General features: G+C 38.0%; 1 protein-coding gene across 33 annotated transcripts in view, besides 2 other annotated features; it reads left to right on the forward strand.

Annotated features, from left to right (window-relative positions):
* Positions 1–22,113, forward strand: part of PCCA (propionyl-CoA carboxylase subunit alpha) — a 441,343-nt gene that overhangs the window by 26,659 nt on the left and 392,571 nt on the right. The window lies entirely within an intron of this gene.
* Positions 13,335–13,835: an enhancer, noted in NCBI's record as "OCT4-H3K27ac hESC enhancer chr13:100781340-100781840 (GRCh37/hg19 assembly coordinates)". NCBI's record gives its function as "activates a minimal SCP1, AML or CMV promoter by ChIP-STARR-seq in primed H9 embryonic stem cells {active_cell/tissue: H9 hESC(primed)}" and the evidence as "EXISTENCE:reporter gene assay evidence [ECO:0000049][PMID:30033119]".
* Positions 13,836–14,336: an enhancer, noted in NCBI's record as "OCT4-H3K27ac hESC enhancer chr13:100781841-100782341 (GRCh37/hg19 assembly coordinates)". NCBI's record gives its function as "activates a minimal SCP1, AML or CMV promoter by ChIP-STARR-seq in primed H9 embryonic stem cells {active_cell/tissue: H9 hESC(primed)}" and the evidence as "EXISTENCE:reporter gene assay evidence [ECO:0000049][PMID:30033119]".

Raw genomic sequence — 22,113 nt, forward strand, 5'->3', positions numbered from 1 at the left:
TGTACCTTCCCTGAAGCAGATGTGGTAGTTTTACATTTTAGAGACTTTTCACCACTTCTGGCTGAAAGCAGTAGGGAATATACCAGAGATTATGATACATAATTTATAATAAAATTTACCAGACCCCACAATGGAAGCAATTGCACACTCAGTCAAAACTTTCTCTTACTATGACCTACTTTAGGTCAATTTCTAGAAAGATACTATAAGTAAAAGCAGGATAATGATGGTGGGAATGTCAAAAGTTTCATTTAAACCTCAACAGTAGGGTCAAATCTGCTATGTGGTTTCTGTTTCAGTCTCAAGGAGGCTGAAAAGGTGAATTCCTGTAACAGCATCTTTTGCATCCTCAGCACGTGATCACAGAGGTTACTATCATAGCTAATCAGCTTTATAATATCAGTAATATGAAAAAGCCATGCTATTCAGATGTATTAATTTTTGCATGTTTGTTTTCAAGAGGTGAGCATTTTAAATGTAACTTGGAGTAAAAAACTTTATAGGCTTTGTATGTTAATTTCACATGTGGAAATGTAAATACTATTCCAGTAGGAAAATACTGCAACAATTGATTGCAAAAGCTATTCATTGTCTATTATAAACAACTAATTTTTAAGGTAATTATGCAAGGAAAAAGATGAATGGATACTGCACATATCAACTAATAAGTCACACAAGGAAGGAAAGCCAGCTAACTTGCAAACAATTAATGTTTGATAGAAAAATGTTGGCTTTTAGAGATGATTATGCAGTTTACCTCTGTTGGTCCCTTCCCTCCAACATGTTCTTCAAAATTGTCTTCAGTATTCTTGGTCCTTCGCTCTTCCATGTGAATTTTAGGATGAGCTGGCCAATTACCCCCCTTCCCCAATTTTTAGATACCATGAACAAGATTTTTATAAGTATAACTTTTGCATGTCTTTTTGTGAACATAATTTTGATTTTTTTTGGGTAAATATCTAGGAGTGGAGTAGCTGGGTCTTAGGGTAGATAAGGAGTTGGCAACCTTTTTTTGTTTGAAAGTAAATACATTTTTGTCTGGATAGCAAATATATTTTAGATTTTGCAGGCCCCTGTGGTCGCTGTTACATATGCTTCTTTTTGTTTTGTTTTGTTTTGTTTTAACAACACTTTAAAAATGTGAAAACTATTGTTAGCTTGAGAGCTGTGCAAAAACAGCCCTTGGATCAGATTTGGCCAGTGGGTAGACAGTATTTTGCTGATGCCTAGAATAAATACATGCATGTTTAAATTTATAAGAAGCTGCTAAATAGTTCTCCTTCATGGTTGTATCATATTTTACTCCCTCCAGAAATGTCTAGGTCAGGGTGCTTTTGTGTCCTTGCCAACACTTGGTGTTTTCAGTCCATTTGATTTTGTGTTTTATTTTTAAGTGGTTGTGAAGCAGTATGTCATTGTGTTTTTAATTTTAGATTTTCCTGATGAATACTGATGTTGAGTACTTTTTTGTGTTATTGGTCATTCATTTATATTTTTTTCTGAAGCATTTCTTCAAACATAATGAAAAAAATTAGAAAAGTAGTACCAGTATATTGGTATCAGTTTACTGTTATATACCAGTATAACGGTATCTGTATACCCTTCACCTAGATTCAGCAATTGTTAACATTTTGGCTTGTTTGCTTTATATTTGTATCCATATGTACATTGTGTGTGTGCATTTTTTTTTTTTTTGGCTAAACAATTTGAAAATAAGTTACAGGACATGGATGAAGCTGGAAACCATCATTCTCAGCAAACTATCACAGGGACAGAAAACAAAACACTGCACGTTCTCACTCATAGGTGGGAATTGAACAATGAAGACACTTGGACACAGGGTAGGGAACATCACACACTGTGTCCTGTTGTGGGGTTGGGGGATGGGGGAGGGATAGCATTAGGGGAAATACCTAATGTAAATGACGAGTTGATGGGTGCAGCAAAACAACATGAGACATGTATACCTATGTAACAAACCTGCACGTTGTGCACATGTACCCTAGAACTTAAAGTATATATATATATGTAAAAAAAGCAGCATTAAAAAGAATCCCCTGGACAGGAAAAAGAAAAAAAAAGAGGCCGGGCGTAGTGGCTCACGCCTGTAATCCCAGCACTTTGGGAGGCTGAGGCGGGCAGATCATGAGGGCAGGAGATCGAGACCATCCTGGCTAACACGGTGAAACCCTGTCTCTACTAAAAATACAAAAAATTAGCCAGGCGTGGTGGCAGGCTCCTGTGGTCCCAGCTACTTGGGAGGCTGAGGCAGGAGAATGGTGTGAACCCGGGAGGCGGAGCTTGCAGTGAGCTGAGATCGTGCCACTGCAGTCCAGCCTGGGCGACAGAGCAAGACTCCATCTCAAAAAAAAAGAAAAAAAAAAAAAAAGAAAATAAGTTACAGACATTGTGGCATTTTACCCGTAAATACTATTCATCTCGCAGTAATAAGTATGGTTTTCTACATATCTATAATACCTTATGAAACCTAAGAAAATAACTCATTATTCTATAATATCATGTAATATGCCTACCACATTCAGGTTTTTCCAGTTGACCCCAGTTGTCCTTTTTAATATTTTTCTTTGATCCACAGTTCAATCAAGGTTCATGAGTTACATTTGTTTATTATACCTCTTTAGTCTCTTAATCTAAAATAGTGCCCCTATTCTCCCTCTTTTTTTGTTTGATTTTTATTATGTTGGCTTTTAGATATTTTGGCTTTGTATGGAATCTATTTTCTCATGAATAGATTCAGATTAAATATTTGACAAGACTACTTCATAAGTGATGTTCTTTCTTTTTTTCTTTTTTTTGTGACAGAGTCTCTCTCAGTTGCCCGGGCTGGAGTGCAGTGGTGAGATTATAACTCACTGCAGCCTGACTTCCTGGGCACAAGCGATCCTCCCACCTTAGTTTCCCAAGTAGTTGTGACTACAGGTGCATGCCACCACGCCTGGCTGATTTTTGTATTTTTTGTAAAGATGGGGTTTCACCATCTTTCCCAGGCTGGTCTTGAACTCCTGGGCTCAAGAGATCCTCTTGCCTTGGCCTCCCAAAGTGCTAGGATTACAGGCGTGAGCCACCGTACCCCAGCCAGTAATGTTATTTTTTTTAATAGTAATATCATAACAAGAGGTTCTTAATGTTGAATTGTTCTGTTGTTATGCTAAGTATGATCATTTGGTTTCATCAGGTCTTCCCATTATAATGGTACATTTTCTTTTTTTTTATTAAATAATTTTTGGGGTGAGTTTTTGAATCCTTGTGAATATTTTGTCCCTCAACCACCTCTCATCTAATGTTTTTGCATCGATAATGAAAATTGCCTGAGCCTGATTACTTTGGTTACATTTGTCTTGTTTGCTGTCTGTGGAGTAAGCTGTTGATTTTCTGCTCCTTTTTGAATCTGCCTGTTTTTATGTATTATCTTTTTTCTTATGTATTTGAGGCCTTTAGTATATTTATTTTTAGCATATTTAATTTAAAGAATCTATCATATTATTGTATTATTTCAAGTTTGTGGGTGTTTATTTCTATTCCTGACTCTTCCTCATAACATATTGTTTCCTCGCATGTTTAAATTTTGGTGTGTGATTCTATGTTTGGTGCTTTTGTTGTTGAATTTCAAGATGGTTTGGGTTATGGATTTGGCCAGGTAGGATAGGTGGTATATTTGTTTCCATCACACCCTCCAGGGTATCACTCATCTGGGACTAATTTTTATATTAAATTTTTGGCATAAAGATTGTCAAATTTTGAAGATAATGGGAAGAACAAAATGAGATTGCACACACACAGATACACACCTGTTGAATAGGCTCATGGTTTCTAATATCTAGAGACATTTTCGTTTACTTTGAACCACAGAGATACGAGCATAGGGTTTATCCTCTCTATTTCGTAGGTTGATTCCTCCCCCACAACCTTTCACTGAGAATGTAATCTTTGAGCCTCCTGGCTTTAGACAGAAGGGTTTCCTTCAAACCTCCAACTCACACGGGATCTGTTTCCTTTCTCTGATCGTTAAAACCCAATCTTCTAGATTATTGAGATTCCCACCTTCACTCTCCAAGACTGGCTCTTGTGGATGCAGACTGATTTTCATTTTTATATTATTTATTTATTTATTTATTTGAGCCGGAGTTTTGCTCTTGTTGTCCAGGCTGGAATGCAATGGCGCAATCTCAGCTCACTGCAACCTCCATCTCCTGGGTTCAAGCGATTCTCCTGCCTCAGCCTCCCGAGTAGCTGGGCTTACAGGCATGCATCACCAAACTACTGAATTTTCAGTAGAGACAGGGTTTCACCATGTTGGCCAGGCTGGTCTCGAACTCCTGACCTCAAGTGATCCACCCGCCTCAGCCTCCCAAAGTGCTGGGATTACAGGTTTGAGCCACCATGCCCAGCCAGATTTTCAGATTACTTTTTTTTTTTTTTTTTTTGAGACAGAGCCTTACTCTGTTGCCCAGGCTGGAGTGCAGTGGTGTGATCATAGCAAACTACAGCCATGAACTCCTGGGCTCAAGTGATTGTCCTGCTTCAGCCTCCTGAGTAGCTGGGACTACATGCACATGCCGTTGTGCCCTGCTTCCTTTTTCTTTTTCATCCCTTGTAGTTTTTTTGTGAGCCAAGCTCTTCATTTGAAGGATGTTTGTTATATTTAATCTAGGTCTTTAGATGTTTCTAAGGAGGATTTGCAGGTTATTTAGTTGGCTTATTGTTGGTTTGTCTTAAAACAATATGACATCCTATTCTTTGTTGAGGAAATTCCCTTAATTTCTTTGAGAAATAAAGACTGATCTAGAGCAGTCTTAAAGTCAGGCTTTCCCTAGGAAAACAATTCATTTATAATGATGAGATTAATGTGCCTGAATCCAGGGGATGAGGCTATAGGGAAGCAGTATAAAATACTCCAATGGGAATTGGTCAGGGCAGGAGAAAGCAAAATGGGAGTTAAGCCTCTTATTAAGTCATGAATTTTTTTTTATGTTTCATTTTCCAGGCCCTAGGAAAGCACGCTTATTATTCTCTGGGAAGATTTGTGGAGAATAGTTTATGAAGAGAAGACAATTCTAGTGCAAGAATGTAACCAGCTGGGATTTTGATTGATATTGCATTGTGTCTGTAGATCATTTTGGAGTGTATAGCTATCTCAACGTTTTTAAGTCTTCCTATCCATGAACATGTGATATTCTTCCATATTTAGGTCACTTGGATTTCTTTCAGCAATGTTTTGTAGTTTCATACTACTATAAGTGTAATTAGTTTTTTAATTTCAATTTTTTAAATTAGTTGCAAGTCTGTAGAAATACAAATGATTTTCATATAATGATTTTGATTCCTGTAAACTTGCTGAACTCTTTTATTAGTTCTAATAGTTTTTTAGTGGATTTCTTAGGTTTTTTTTTTTTTTTTTTTTTTTTAAAGATGGAGTTTCTGTCACCCAGGCTGGAGTGTCGTGGCATGATCTTGGCCCACTGCAACCTCCACCTCCCGGGGGTCAAGTGATTCTCCTGCCTCAGCCTCCTGCGTAGCTGGGGTTACAGGCATGCGCCACCACGCACAGCTAATTTTTTTGTACTTTTAGTAGAGATGGGGTTTCACCATGTTGGCCAGGCTGGTCTCGAACTCCTGACCTCAAGTGATCCTCCCGCTGTGGCCTCCCAAAGTGCTGGGATTACAGGTGTGAGCCACTGCGTCTGGGCCTTAGGATTCTTTTTTTTTTTTTTTTCTCTCTTGAGACCGAGTCTCATTCTGTTGCCCAGGCTGGAGTGCAATGGTGCGATCTTGGCTCACTGTAACCTCCGCCTCCCAGGTTCAAGCAATTCTCCTGCTTCAGCCTCCGGAATAGCTGGGACTACAGGCATCTGCCACCACACCCGGCTAATTTTTTGTATTTTTAGTAGAGGTGGAGTTTCACCACGTTGACCAGGCTGGGCTCAAACTCCTGACCTTGTGATCTGCCCACCTCAGCCTCCCAAAGTGCTGGGATTACAGGCATGAGCTACTGTGCCCGGCCAGGATTCTTTATATAAGATCATGTCATGTGTGAATAGAGATAGTTTTACTTCTTTCCATCTGGATGCTTTTTATTTCATATTCTTGCCTGATTTCTCTGGCTTTAACTTCCAGAACAATGTTGAAGAGGTGAGAGGAGGCATCCTTGTCTTGTTCTTCATCTTAGGGGGAAAGCATTCAGCATTTCACCCTTAAATTTGATTTAGGCTCTGGTATTTTCATAGACTTTCATTATCAGGTGGAAGAAGTTAATTGCTATTCCTAGTTTACTGAGGGATTTTTATCAAGAACAGGTGTTGCATTTTTTCAAATGCTTTTTCTGTGTTTACTGAGATGATCATGTGGTTTTTGTCCTTTATTTATATGGTGTATTGTTACATTAATTGATTTTTTTGGGTGTTAAACCAGCCTTGAATTCCTGAGATTAATCCCACTTGGTCATGCTGTGTAATCCTTTGTATATATTGCTGGATTCAGTTTGTTAGTATTTTATTAATTTTGTGTTCATATTTACAAGAGATATTGTCTGCAGTTTTCTTATGATGTCTTTGCTTGGTTTTGGTGTTAGTGTGATCCTGGCCTCATGAATTGGAAACCTTTCTCTCATCTTCTAGTTTTTTTGGAAGAATTGGTATTAACTTTTCTTTAAATGTCTGGTAGAAATCACCAGTGAAGCCATCTGAATCTGGGCTTCTCTTTGGTTAGTTTTTGATTGTTAAATCTACCTTTTTACTTATTGTAGGTTTTTTCAGATATTCTGTTTCTTTAATCAGTGTCTGTAGTTTATGTCTTTCTACAAATGTGTCCATTTCATCAAAGTTTCTAGCTTATTGGTATAGTATTTTCTTATTTTTATTTTATAAGGTCAGTAGTAATGTCTCCTCTTTCATTCCTAAATTTAGACATTTGAGCCTTCCCTTTTTTCTTGGTCACTGGCCTAGTCTGTTCAGGCTTGTTATGGATTGTCATAGTCTGGGTGGCTTATAAACAACAGGAATTTATTTCTCATAGTTCTGGAGGCTGATAAGTCAAGATTGAGGCACTGTTAGATGTTGTCCCTGGTGAGGGCTCCTTTCTTAGTTTCTTAGTGGAGCCTTCTTGCTGTGTCCTCACATGGTGGAAGGAGCAAGGGAAGGATCTCATTCATGAGGTCTCTGCCACAAGTGTTCTGAAATAGCATTCCAGAAGTACAAGGTGATACAGTTAGTCAAGAGCTATAAATTGGTGGATAGGAAAGGCAAAAATAAGAAGATTGTATTGAGTTTCTAGTTATACAATGAACTGAATAACTCCTTTTCTTTTGAGACAAATTCTCACTCTGTCGTCCAGGCTGGAGTGCAATGGCACCATCTTGGTTCATTGCAACCTCCGCCTCACAGGTTCAAGCATTCTCATGCCTCAGCCTCCCGAGTAGCTAGGATTACAGGTGCCTGCCACCATGCCTGGCTAGGATTTGTATTTTAGTAGAGTTGGGGTTTCACCATATTGGCCAGGCTGGTCTCAAACTACTGACCTCAGGTGATCCACCCTCCTCGGCTTCCCAAAGTGCTGGGATTACAGGCGTGAGCCACTGCACCTGGCCCTGAATAACTCTTTAGAAACAGAAAAAATCTCTGGTGGTTGGTTAAATAGTAAATATAAATAAATCTATAAATTTCCTATATATCAATAAGGTAGAAAATACAACAAGAAATGTAACCTCGTAGAAGCAATGGAAATGATAAAACACTGTATGATGTGAATTTAAAATGAAATTTTTAGGACTTACATGAGGACTTCTTATTTTTGTATAGGGAAACCGATTTTTAAAAATGCTCTTTTCTGTACATTTTCTATTAAATCCTAATATAACAACATAATGGGGGGGGATTGACAAAGAGTAAATATGCAAGAATAGCCTAGATAATTCTGAGGAAAATTGATGGGGAGTAGCCTAACATATTAAAATACATTTTAATACATTGTAAGTCAGCAAGAAGACATAGGTCTATGGAATACATTTGTTAGATTTTAGGCAGTGGGATGATGTGGGAGGATTTTTGAGTTGTTAAAGAGGGTCTCATGAATATTATGTGGATTTAGAAGACAAGGTAATTCTAGGATTGCTTGCCTCTAATTTACTGAGATTTTTAGGTATCTCAGAGAAGATAAGAAATATAAGGAATGAGAAATGTTTAATGGCTTTAGTGACTAGGAGTTTCTAAATGGACACATGGGCCCATTTCATTAGTTTGGTGAATAGTGAGAGCAAAGAATTTGGGAATTTAAGATTGTTGTACTTCTCCAAATGAATGTTTTAAGTATAAAGACTAGTATGTCTTTCCACAAAAATGGTAAAATATATTGTCACATTTATATCAAACTGCTAAAATAAGTTTTGATATTTTTTAAAAAATGAGATCTCATCAGGTTAAATGAAAAGAGTTGAGAATCTTCATTCCCAAAGAGGAAAATGATTCTGTATATCAACAGAATCATTCAACCTTTGACTGTATTCTCTATCTACGTTCCTAAATTGAACCTATCTATACATATTTTGTTGCTTTGTCTGTGTACAGTCATGTTGGATTTAAATGAGAAATATCTGATTTTACCACGTTGAAACAAGAACCTAAAATTAGGGAAGTATTCACTGTGACTCACATCTTACCCAGGCAGCCTGCTGTTGAAAGGATGATCCCTGGTGCGCACTGTAGTCTCAGCCTCAGGATTCTATAATGAGATTGAGTGGGGTTTCCTGTGAGCACTCTGGGGTGATTGACAGTAAGGTGAGGGCAGTCATCACTTTTTATGCCTACCCTTGATGATATGTCCCTGCTGTCTGGGGAGGGACCGAGGACGAATAGGACTTGGTGATGTCTAAGTAATTAGTGTATGTTGGTTCCAGCTGAACAAACTGGAGGGTAATGATCAGGTAAATGGAAATGGAACACATTAATGCAGACTAAGGTATAAAAGACCTTAGGGTTAAACTTTTCAACATTTTATGGGATTATTAGAATATCTTTATTTCATTTTTTATATTTACATGTCTCTGTATATACATACACTTATTTATATTTTTGTCAGTGTATCTTCAGTTTTACCTTAGATGTATATAGAGATGAAAGCAACTTAAATGTGAAAACCTCAAACGCATTTTTTCTCCTTTACATGATTTCAGAATATTTTCAAACTTTTTCTGTTTGGAAAGGAGTTAAGGTTCTTAATTAAACATTTTCTTTTTAATTTCACAAAAATTGTTAATGGACTTGTTTGGAGCTGATGCCTATCACTGATCCTCAAATAGGAGCAAATGACTAAAGTCAGGCTTGGAAAACTTTTTTGGGGTGTTAACTGAAAAGTATCAGGTGACCTTTTATTTGTGTGTGTGTGTGTGTGTGTGTGTGTACTTGAGAATGTTATATTTCAGTAACATTTTCTTAAACTGCCTTTTCTTAGTAAAGGATATTTTAAGATGATGGCTGTCCTGGTCCATGTTTCACAGTTGGTCTTAATTAGATCAGAAATATTTCCAGACATTTAGGTTGCAATAGGAAATCTATAGGATTCTTAATTTATTCTTACAAAAGGTATTTATAGTTGCCATTCTTCAATATTAACTTTCCTTATCAACAGCAAAAAGTCTTACGGCAAAGCCTCTGGAGAGTGACTGCAGTACTGCATTTAATGGGAAGGGAGGAATTGTTTGCCTTAGTATATGGTTTTGAATCTGGGAGTCTGGTAATTAGGTAATCAAAGGGTTTAAAAAATGGCATAATGGCTTTAAAACTTGCTATTGCTCACTTTTCTTATAAAACTTAGCTTTCAGAAATCTTTTTAGATTAAGAATACAATGTACCTACTATGCAAATTTAAAACAATAGACTTTTCATTAAAGAACTAACCAGGAGAAGAAAGCATTTAAGATGTGTAGACATTTCTTTTCCTTTTCTTTTTTTCTTTTATTGTCTTTGGAAAAACTTATTTTGCAGAAACAGTATACTGTATCAATTTTAAGTGTTTTGATTATCTTTGACTTGGCTAAATTATTTTCTCTGCATTTTTGGGTAAAATGGAATAGGATGGGATTCCTGGTAGGTATTTGTTCACATTAATACTATATTTAATTGGAGATCCTGCAGAATAGTAGCAGGAGGCTGAAGAGAATTATTTAGCATTAGCAATGGCTCGTCTGGGAGTTGTGGACTAATCAAGGCGCTGTAGTGTTAGTGGTGGGGATGATGGGAATTATGACGATTATGACATGTAAGCATGTCTGTGTACGAATTGGACAGGCAATGAGTTAATCAAGAAGTATGTTAAATGGCTCCCATGCTGATTCATTATTATCTACCATAGTGCCTGTCAGGTTGTGTATTTAAAAAACACAATCATTGCCAAATTCAATATGTATATGAGCTGAATTCAGCCATTGTTTGCTTTTCCATAAAATAACCTCAGATTTCCTTATATGTATAAAAATAGAAAATTGTGTCAACTGTGCTGTGATTTGTGTTTATAGTATGGTATCTTTTTTTTTTAACAGAGTCATTTAAACCTATGTTTGCTTTGCCCTTTCATATATTCGTGTAAATATTCTCTGGCTTGTTTTCTATGCATAAAGGGTTTGGGTTTGAAAGTGAAATTTATGTGTCTTTACTTTTCAAGATGAAAAAATAATTCCAGTATTTCAGAGACAAATTAATATTTAACACATGAACTATGGACAAATCAAAGCATGAATCTTTTCCACCATCAAAATGCTTGAATTTAAATTGGGGGTGGGGGTGGAAACCTCCTTTGCTGTAGCGGGGGGTCTCTTTGTGCCAGGTAGACAGACCCATTCTGTGCCCAGCATGGTTGGGGTTATCTGTCAGGAAACTATCTATTAGAAATGCTAGAAATGTATGTATTTTGGGGGAATGGAACTAATAAATTGAATTCCTTTTAGAAAATAAATTGAAATGCAGCATAAATCCATGAGCAAACTGGATTATATCTCTAGGCAAATTTAAAGAGTTATTGTACAGATGAACACCATTTTTTTTTATTATTGTGAGCACTGCCAAATTTAATAAAACTTTCTACCAAACTGTGACTTTCATGTATTAACTTAATTAAAGCAGTGTTATGGGTAATACTCAGTGTTAACCTGTGGATGGCTGTTATTGAAATCCATTATCAATGGAGTCAGTATTAGTGGTCAGCAGCATCAGAAGTAAAACTTGCAACCAAGACCCTCCCATGGGTGCTGTGAGCTCAGCAGGTTAAATTGTCAAAAACCAGTAAAGCTTCTTAAAGGACTGATAGCTTAAGCCACCCGGAGTTAAAGGTAAACTAGTCATTCCAGTCAAGATGGACTATGACTTTATTTAGCAGTCAGGCAAAAATTATATTTGGGCAGGATTTATATCAGTATCTTCATGTATGACTTATTCATTTGTATGTTCATGTACCTTGCTATTTAAATTCAATAAAACCATCCAGCTTTTTTTAATCTGTGGGAAGTGACTTGTGGATATTTTCTTTTATAAAACGTTAAGGAGATGTCTTAAGACTTTCTGAATTTTTTGTTAATAACTTATACTGAAGTTACTTTTTACTTATACTAAAATTTTAAATTAAGAAAAAAGTGAAATATTGTATTAATATATCTTTTTGGTTTTGTTTATTTTATAATTTCTGGTAAACTTAAACAACATGGTTTTAAAGGGAATTTATGTATTTCAGTGTAATTAGTACCTGCTGTTATGAAAAAGCACCTAATCATGGATTTATTTTTCTCTAAGCAGCTATTTGGGAAGGATCAGAAGTCCTATCTTACTGAAAAAGCATACATATAATAAAAGATTTGAGGGCCGGGCGTGGTGGCTCACGCCCGTAATCCCAGCACTTTGGGAGGCCGAGGCAGGCGGATCATGAGGTCAGGAGATCGAGACCATCCTGGCTAACACAGTGAAACCCCGTCTCTACTAAAAATACAAAAAGTTAGCCGGGCGTGGTGGTGGGTGCGTGTAGTCCCAGCTTCTCGGGAGGCTGAGGCAGGAGAATGGCGTGAACCTGAGAAGCAGAGCTTGCACTGAGCCGAGATCGCGCCACTGCACTTCAGCCTGGGCGACAGAGCTAGACTCCGTCTCAAAAAACAAAAAACAAAAAAAAAGATTTGATATACAGTTTACCTTATTCTATGTTCCAGTGTTTCTAAGGCCATGACTTAACTCATTTTTACAGCCTCCCTCATTCAGACTCCTTAGTGGAGGGAAAGGACATGATTATTCCAAATAATGCCTCTCACTCATTCAGAATCTATGGTGTACTGGAAAAGCACATAATTACATAAGGATTGAATTACTGTTACTGTTTTAAATTGAGAAAATTGGGGCTTCAAGTATAAAGCCAATCTTCGGGTTGCCAAAGATCACTGGGCTAGTAAGTAGTGGAGCTGAGATTCAAATTATGTGTAACTTCTAAGTTGTACTGTTTCCACTGTGCATGTTGCTTCTCATACTAAGTATGAGGAAAAGTCCCCTCCCACCACAAAACGAAGTGAAGTTTATTACTTTGAAGGCAGAGTTTTTATTAGTGCCTGTTGGAGGCTGGGTACTATGATAGGTACTGGAACTAGAAGAGTGACTGGAAGTGATAGGATTGCTGCTTTAGAGATGGGTATAGAGAAATAAAACATAAATAATTACAAATTGTGATAAGTGTTATGAGGGAAACAAGTTGTTGAGAGAGAATCATGGTTCCCTTCAGTAATAGGGTGCTCAGGGAAAGTCTTGCTGAGGGGTAAAATGTAAGCTGAGAATGATGGATGAGAAGGAGTCAGCCAGCTAGGCAGACAAGACCGCGTGCGCAAAGGCTCTGAGTCACCCCAGTCTGCTTCTGTCCTCAGTACTCTACTATAGAGTTCTTGCTAGTGTGACCACCAGTTTTCTCATGTTAAGTCCAGTGGACATTTTTCAGTCCTCTTCTGTTTGACTTCCCAGAATCTTTTAACACTATTACCCTTTTTCAGACACTCTCATCCTCTGGCTTTGGTGCCATTTTAATCTCCTAGTTTTCTCTCTACTTCTGTGGCCCTCCTCTGTGTCCCCTCTACAGGAATCACTCAAGGTTTGATTGGTGGGCTCTTCTTAAAATTGTTTTATTTTTTGTACTTTCTCTACCCTTACCCTGAAAGATGGCATTCTCTTCCACTTCTGTTTCTGTGGTTTTAATCAACCCTAGACTCCAACTCTGTTTTCTCTCTCTCTGTGACGTCTCTAGTTGAATGTTTTACCACTACCTCAAACCCAGCATTACCCAAACTGAACTTTGATCCTTCGGGCTTCTTGTATCTGAATCCTCCTGCAGAAGCACAAGATGTAGGAATTTATGTTCACCATCATTCTTTCTTTCATTTCTCATTTCCAATTTATGAGCAAGTCCTTTTCATAAATAATTTTGGAATCTAGTCACCTATCTTCACTTCGTTATTGCTTCTTTAGCAAGGTCTTTTAAAATCTTCTAGTGAATCTTTTAATCTTTTAGACTGATAAAATTAATTTCATCTGGGGCAGTTTATCTAATGTGAACTGTTTCAGTTTCTGAAGTTTTGTTTGATAGCGAATGCTTTCTTACTCTGTTTTGGAATTTTAGTTCATAGGCTCTTTTTTCTGGTGAAAGTTAAAAATGTTTATTGCTCTTCATGCTTCATCTTCTCCCTTCCCTTTGCTTCCTTGACCTTCCTCTTCCTCTCTCTTTCCTAGTTTCTCTCTCACCCCGGCCATTGCTGCCTCCCACCTTCTCCCTGACCAGTAGTTTTGTGGGTGCCCCCCCGCCGGCATTTTGGATTCCTAATCTACATCCAGGTCTTATGGTGATAGTTTGGACACATGGCAGATTAGTCCCAGCAGCTTGTTCAGATTTTGACCCTGAAGCTGTGGTTCTGCCTCCCTAGGTCCACAGTCTCCAGGAGTTGTAGTGAGCTGTAGTTGCAGACAATACTTGGTGGCCTCCTCTTCAGGCCAAGGGCAGTTCCTCTTTGGCCTGGTCTTCACCAGTGGCTCTGGCTCTCTTCTCAGTCTTGTGAGAACATTCTCGCCATCTGTACTTTGCATTTGGCACTTCCTGCTTCTGAGGAACCAGCCAGTGGTTAGCATTGTTATGCGTTTTTCTCCTGTTTTGAGTTTGTGAAATGTTTACCATTTATTTCTGCTTACCTGTTTTCTTAGTTTTCCTTTCTGGGTTTTATTGTCATTGTTGTACATTTGAAGTAGAGAGAGCTTTTGAAATATGAACTCACTGTGCCATCCTTTTTTTGTGCTAAATTTATTGAAGTCCACAAAAACCAGAGAAAAATGTCAGATCTCAAAATTGTGTTTTTGCTCAATTTCAAGCATCAATTTATCCAAGTTACCCACTTGATACCTGACTTGCCCTACTTAGCAAGTCGAGGCATTGTTTTGCTGGCTCTGGCACTCTGGCTATAGCCAGTCACTCACCCCACTTGGGATTGCTTCCTTTGCTGCTTGTTCCTGCTGCTGCTCAGTGGCAGCTGCCAAGTTGGAGTAGCAAAGGGAAAAGTTTAGTAGGCATCTTTTAGGAAGACAGAATGCTGTCTGGAGATGGCAGTGGTGGATTTATATCTGAGTCATTCATCTGAATTGGAACCTGTACAAAGGAAAAGAGGTTCTAGCTCAGATAAATAGATATAAATTCATTGTTGCTATCTTCAGGCATTCATTTATTTAATTAGATGCACTGAAAAGCACTCTCGAGGTGTGGGGACAGGGTGTGGTGTATCCAATGGAGAGTTTGTAGAAATTGTTAAGTTGAGGTACAACTGCTTATAAATAGTATTTGAAAATGTCTTATTTTGTAAACAACTGAGTATTTAGTTGATTGCAAATCTTCCTGTAAATCAATGATAGATTAGTTTAGTTTCCGGGTCTATAGTATATTCCTCAAATGGATAGTAGGTATTTTTGTAAAGGGGACTTTATAATTAAATATAGCAAAGTGTCTTCCGTGGACTGTATTAATTAAATGTTACAGATCCCCAGGCTGCACTGATGAAACTCAGCTGGGATGCTCTACATGTGATAGGGAAATTTGGTTTCAAAATTACACAACCTATTTGTGAAGGTTTCGTGTAATTTTTCTTTTCAGTAAGAAGTGTTTCCATGTATCAGTTTTTTTACATTTAAAAAAGTAATTTATTTTCAATTGTGGTAAAGTATACATAACATAAAAGTTTACCATTTTAACCATTTGTTATCAAAAGATGATGAGATCTGTGGAGGAAAAAATGGAGAGCTTTATTTTCTATAGAAAAAACTTGCAGACTGGGGAGGCATAGTTTTCACTAGTGAAAATGTTGCTCTAAAGAGAAAAAAAAAGGGGCTTGGCTTAAGTAGGGAAAGTTCTTGCCCTCATTCTCTGTGAGGTCTGTGCAAACGAAGGATTCAAGCTTGTTCGGTTCAGATTGAACCCTAATCTGGTGCCAGAAGTGTCTCTGTCAGATGTTCCTTCGAAAGGCTGGTGCAGGGGAGGTTTCTGCTGCAATTCTTCTTGGCCCCAGTCACAGGAACTGTTCTGGCTTAAGAACAGTTCTTAATCAAGAGCCGTGATTTCCAAGAACGAAGGGTGGTGACCACTCTTCTCTCACTCTGCTATGGCCGCTTGGACCCATTGTCTAAATGTGGGTATATTAGCCACAGGGAGTGCATCTCATCTGGAGAGCTTGCAGTTTTATTTACAATTTTATTTCACACATTTTTAAGCATACAGTTCAGTAACATTAAGCACATTCACATTGTTTTGCAGGATGAAAAGTTCTGGAAACGGGTGGTGGCGATGGTTTCGCATTATCAATTTTTACCTAGTATGCTTTTTTTTATACAGTGTTTTAAAGTGTTGGAAAAAACTTATGCCTTTACAGTATTTTATTATATTAGCTTATGTTCATTGTATGGGGTTGTAGGCAGTGACAGATACTCAACCTTTAACAAATACCGTTGAGCACTTGTTATGTGAAGATGCTCCACATCTTTTGAACTAGGCAGTTGTGGTTCCTGCACTCTTGTGGCTTCCAGTTCAGTGGAAGAAGCAGACATTTTATAATTACATACATTTATGACATTAGTGTAATGAAAAATTATAGGGTGTTTTGTAAGTGTGGAACAGGAGGATCTGAACCAGCCTGGGGAGTCAGGGAATGCTTTTTTGAGGAATTCACATTTTGGCAGAGACCTGAAGGGGGTGACAAGAGTTAGGTGAAGCTGGGAGAGGACAATACTAGGGCAGAATAGAGCTTGGTAATTTCCAGAAAGTTAGATAGGGCTAATGTACTCTTAAACAGGAGGCCTGCAGTGTTGTTCACAATGTTCACCTATATGTAGTTGTGTTTGTTTTTTAAATTTTTAAAAATTATCCTATAGTAATAGGATACCCATCTTTCATACCCTTCTGTGGATATCAGCACATGTGTAGATTATGTCACTACTAGCACAATCAGAATGCAGAGTAGTTCCATTACCCCTCAGACTCCCTTGTGAGTCATTACCCCTCAGACTCCCTTGTGTATCCCATTAGTGTCACATCCTTTTCCACCCTGACACTGGCAACCACGGATGTGTTTCCCATCACTATAGCATTGTCATTTCCACACAGCGTGTAACCTTTTGAGACTGGCTACTTTCACTCAGAATATGTTTTTGTGATTCATCCAAACTGTTGTGTGTATCAATAGAATGTTCCTTTTTTATTACCGAGTAGTGTTGCATTGTGTGGATGCACAGGTTTTTTTAAATCCATTTACCTGTTGAAGGACATTTGGGTTGTTTCCAGCTTTTGACAATTATGAATAGAACTGTTGTAAACATTTGTGTACAGATTCTGTTTCTCTAGTATAAATATCTAGGAGTGGGATTGCTGGTCATATGGTAAGTATAAGAAACTGCTAGACTTTTCCAGAGTTGCTATACCAGAATACAATGAGAGTTGTAGTGGTTCTTCATCCACTTCAGCAGTCTTGTCAGTATTTTTTTTTTTGAGACAGAGTCTCACTCTGTCACCGGGGCTAGAGTGTAGTGGCACCATCTTGGCTCACTGCAACCTCCACCTCCCGGGTTCAAGCGATTCTCCTGCCTCAGCGTCCTGAGTAGCTGTAGCTGGCATTACAGGCACCTGTCACTATGCCCAGCTAACTTTTTGTATTTTTACTAGAGACGGGGTTTCACCATGTTGGCCAGGCTGGTCTTGAACTCCTGACCTCGTGATTCACCTGCCTCAGCCTCCCAAACTGCTAGGATTATAGACATGAGCCACCATGCCCGGCCTCATTTTAACCACTCTAATATGGTTTGGAAGTAGTATCTCATTGTGGTTTTAATTTGCATTTGCCTAATGGTTAATGATGATGACCTTCTTCTCATGTGCTTATTTGCCATCCATGTATCCTTTTCAGTGAATAAGCTTTGCCTGTTTTTTAATTCATTTGTTTGTTTGTTTTTCTGTTGTTGAGTTTAGAGTGTTCTTTATGTATTCCGAATACAGGTCCTTTGTTGGATGTATGATTGGCAAATAGTTTCTTCCAGTTGGTAGGTTGTCTTTTTTGTCCTCTTGACAGTGTCTACTGCAGATCACTTGTTTTTAATTTTGATAAAGTCAGCTGATCACTTTTTTCATCTATAGGTTGTGTTTTACTGTCATGTCTAAGAACTCTTTACCTAACTTCAGGCCACGAAGATTTTCTTCAAGATTTTTGTAGTTTTGCCCTTTATTGTTAGATATGTGATCCATCTTGAGTTAATTCTCTGTAAGATTTGCAGTCGGTTTTTTTGTTTTTTGTTTTTTTGCATATAGATGTTGAATTATTTCAACACCATTCATTGAAAATAGTATTTCTCTATTGTGATGGTTAATATTGAGTGTCAACTTGATTGGGTTGAAGGATGCAAAGTATTGTGTGTCTGCAAGGGTGTTACCAAAGGAGGTTGACATTTGAGTCAGTGGACTGAGAGAGGCAGACCCACCCCCAATCTGGGTGGGCACCCTCTAATCAGCTGCCAGCGTGGCTAGAATGAAGCAGGCAGAAGAGTGTGGAAGGACTTGACTTGCTGAGTCTTCCGGCCTTCATCTTTCTCTTGTGCTGCATGCTTCCTGACCTCGAACATCAGACTCCAAGTTCTTCAGCCTTTGGACTCTTGGACTTAACTGGTTTGCCAGGGGCTCTGAGGCCTTCAGCCACAGACTGAAGGCTGTACTGTCGGCTTTCCTACTTTTGAGGTTTTGGGACTCAGACTGGCTTCCCTGCTCTTAGCTTGCAGATGGCCTGTTGTGGTACTTCACCTTGTGATCATGCGAGTCAATACTCTTTAATAAACTCCCCTTCATATGTACATCCATACTGTTAGTTCTGTCCCTTTAGAGAACCCTGACTAATACAATTACTTTTGCACCTCTGTCAAAAATCAAATGGGGTGATATTTGGATGGGTTTCTTGACTCTGTTCTTTTTCATTCATCTGTGTCTATTCCCTTGTCAGTACTACATAGTGTTAAAATTGGATTCCTCTACCTTTCTTTTTCTCCCCCCATTTTTCCAAAACTGCTTCAGCTATTCTGGTTCATTTGCCTTTTCGTATACATTTTAGAATCAGCTTATGTTTATGTACACACACAAAAAAAATCCTGCTGAGATTTTGATTAGAATTTTGTTGAATCTACATCAGTTTGGGAAGAATTGACATTTTCCACTGTGTTGAGTCTTCCAATCCATGAACATGGCATGTCTCTTAATTTATTTAGGTTTTCTTTGTTGGTGGTGGTATTCTTAGACAGGGTCTTGCTCTGTTGCCCAGGCTGGAGTGCAGTTGTGTGATCATAGCTCACTGTAGGCTTGACCACCTGGGCTCAAACCTCCCACCTCAGCCTCCTGAGTAGCTGGGATTACAGGCTTGTGCCACCATGCCCAGCTAGGTTTTTAATTTTTTTGTAGAGACAGGGTCTCCCTATATTGTCAAGGCTGGTCCTGAACTCCTGTGCTCAAGCAGTTCTCTTGCTTTGGGATTACAGGTGTGAGCCACCATGCCTAGCCTGTTTAGGTCTGCTTTGATTTCTTTCATTAGCATTTCATAGTTTTCAATATGCAGATCCTGCACATGCTTTGTTTTGTTTGTTTTTTGTAGACAGGGTCTTACTGTGTTGCCCAGGCTGGCCTCAAACTCCTGGGCTCAAGTGATCCTCCCACCACAGCCTCCCAAATAGCTCCCAACTGTAGGTACATGCCACCATGCCCAGCTTGTACTGTTTTGTTAGATTTTTAACCTAAGTGTAATTTTTTTTTGGAGACTCTTAAAATTGTATTGTTTGGCCAGGCGTGGTGGCTCGCATCTGTAATCCTAGCACTTTGGGAGGCTGAGGTGGGAGGATCATTGAGCCAGGAGTTTGAGACCAGCCTGGGCAACATAGCCAGACCCTGTCTCTACAAACAAACAAAAATATAGTAGGGTGTAGGGGCACATACCTGTAGTCCTAGCTGCTCTGGAGGCTGAGAGGGAGAATTGCTTGAGCCCAGGAGTTTAAGGCTGCAATGAGTTATGATCACAACACTTACATTCCAGCCTGGGTGACAGAGTGAGACTCTGTCTCTTTAAAAAAATTATTGTTTAGGCCGGTGACAGAGTGAGACTCCGTTATTGTTTAAAAAATTTTGGTTTCCAGTTGTACATTGCTAGTAGTAGAAGTATGATTAATGTTTGAATGTTGACCTTGCATTCTGTGATCTTGCTAAACTCATTAGTTCTAGGAGTATTTTCGTAGGTTCCTTGGGGTTGTCTATGTAGATAATCATGTTGTCTGTGAACAGAGACAGTTCGATTTTTTTTTCTTTATAATTTGTATGTCTTTTATTTTATTTTTTTCTGTTGCTCTAGTTAGGAATTCCAGTATGAAGAGGAAGAGGAGTAGCAGTGGTGCACATTCTTGCCTTATTCCCAATCTTAGTGGAAAAGTGTTCAGTCATTCAGAATTAAGTATGGTATTAGCTGTGGGTTTTTTGTGGTTGCTTTTTATCAGGTTGAGGAAGATCCTGTCTACTCCTAATCTGCCAATGAATGTTGAATGTTGTCTTACACTTTTCCTAAATCAATTGATATGATCATGTGGGGTTTTTTTCCTTTTGATTGTAATATGCTATTTTACGCTGAGCGATTGATTTTTTTAGTATGAAGCTACTTTTGCATTTTGGTTGTGGTGTATTGTTTTTTATATATTGCTGGATTGGACTTCTTAATTTTTTGTTAAGGATTTTTTACATCATTATTATGAGGGACATTGGTCTGCAGTTTTCTTTTTGTGTACTGTCTTTGGTATTAGCATAATGTTGTCCTTATAAAATTAATTGGGAAATGTTTCTTCTCTGAATGAGAGTGTATAAAATTGTTTTTTTTTTTTTTTTTTTGAGATGGAGTTTCACTCTTGTTGCCCAGGCTGGAGTGCAATGGTGTGATCTCGGCTCACTGCAACCTCCACCTCCCGGGTTCAAGTGATTCTCCTGCCTCAGCATCTCAAGTAGCTGGGGTTACAGGCGTGCACCACCACGCCTGGCTAATTTTTGTATTTTTAGTAGAGGTGGGGTTTCTCCATGTTGGTCAGGCTGGTCTCAAACTCCCAACCTCAGGTGATCCACCTGTCTTGGCCTCCCAAAGTGCTGGGATTACAGGTGTGAGCCACGCGCCCGGCCTATAAAATTGTTCAGAATTCTCCAGTGAAACCATCTGGGCCTGGAGATTTCTTCTTCAGAAGGTTTTAAATGACGTATTCAAGTTCTTTAATAGTTATTGGAGTATTCAGGTTATCTATCTTATTTTGAGTGTGTTTTGTTAGCTTTGTGTTTTGCCATTTTTGAGGAATTGGTTCATTTCATCTAAATTGTCCAATTTATGCACATAGAATTATTCTTAGAAACCTTTTATTATCCTTTTAATATCTGCATAGTTTGTAGTGATAACCTCTTTCCTTTCTTATTTTGGATGTCGTTTTTTTCTTCTTTTCTTAGTCTTTTTAGAGATTTATCAGTTTTATTGATGCTTTAGAATAACTAGCTTAGGTTGCATTGATGTCTTTTTTCTCTATTTTCTCTTTTAAAAATTATTGATATCTCCTCTGTTGTGTTCTTCCTTCTACTTTAGGTTTATTTTGCTTTTCTTTTTCTGGTTTGTAAGGTAGGAGCTTAGATTATTGATTTGAGATATATCTTCTTATTTAATACTATAATTTTCTCTCTAAGCACTCTAAGTGCATCTAATATTTTTTTTTATATATTGTGTTTTCATTTTTGTTAAGAATGTTTTCTGAGACTTCCTTTTTTGCACATAGGTTATTTAAAATTGTTTAATTTCCAAGCATTTGGAGATTTTTCTACTGTCTTTCTGTTATTTATTTCTAATACTAATTCTCTTTGTTCAGAGATCATATTTTGTATTATTATAGTTTTTTTCAGTGTGTTAAGTTCATTTTCTGATCCAGGTATGACCTGTTTTGTTGCATGTTTCATGTGCACTTGTAAAGATTGTGTCTTCTGTTGTTAGACTTCAGTACTGTATAAATGTCAGTGAGATACAACTGGTTTGTGGTATTGTCCAGTTCCTCTATATCCATGCCAATTTTCTACTACTTGTCTTTCTTTTGAGAGTCTTGATGTTTCCAACGATGACTGGGTTATTGTCTGTTTCTCCTCTCAGTTCTGCCAGTTTTTGCTTTATGAAGCACTGTTGTTAGGAACATACACATTAAGGATTATTGTATCTTTTTGGTGAATTGACCCTGTTACTATTAGGTAATGTTCTTCTCTATCCCTTGTAAATTTCTTTGCTCTGAAGCCTACTTTTTCTGATACTAACCTAGGCATTCCAGCCTTTATTTGCTTGATGTTTGCATCGTATTTTTTCCCATCATTTTACCTTTAAACTACATATGTCATTATATTTGATGTGACTCTCTTGTACACAGCATATACTTGGGTCATATTTTGACAATCTCTTTTAATTTGTATGTTTAAGTCTTTTTTTTTTTTTTATTTTTTTCGAGACAGGGTCTCACTCTGTCATCCAGGCTGGAGTGC

Source organism: Homo sapiens, chromosome 13 (genome assembly GCF_000001405.40).
Source record: "Homo sapiens chromosome 13, GRCh38.p14 Primary Assembly".
NCBI lineage: Eukaryota > Metazoa > Chordata > Mammalia > Primates > Hominidae > Homo > Homo sapiens.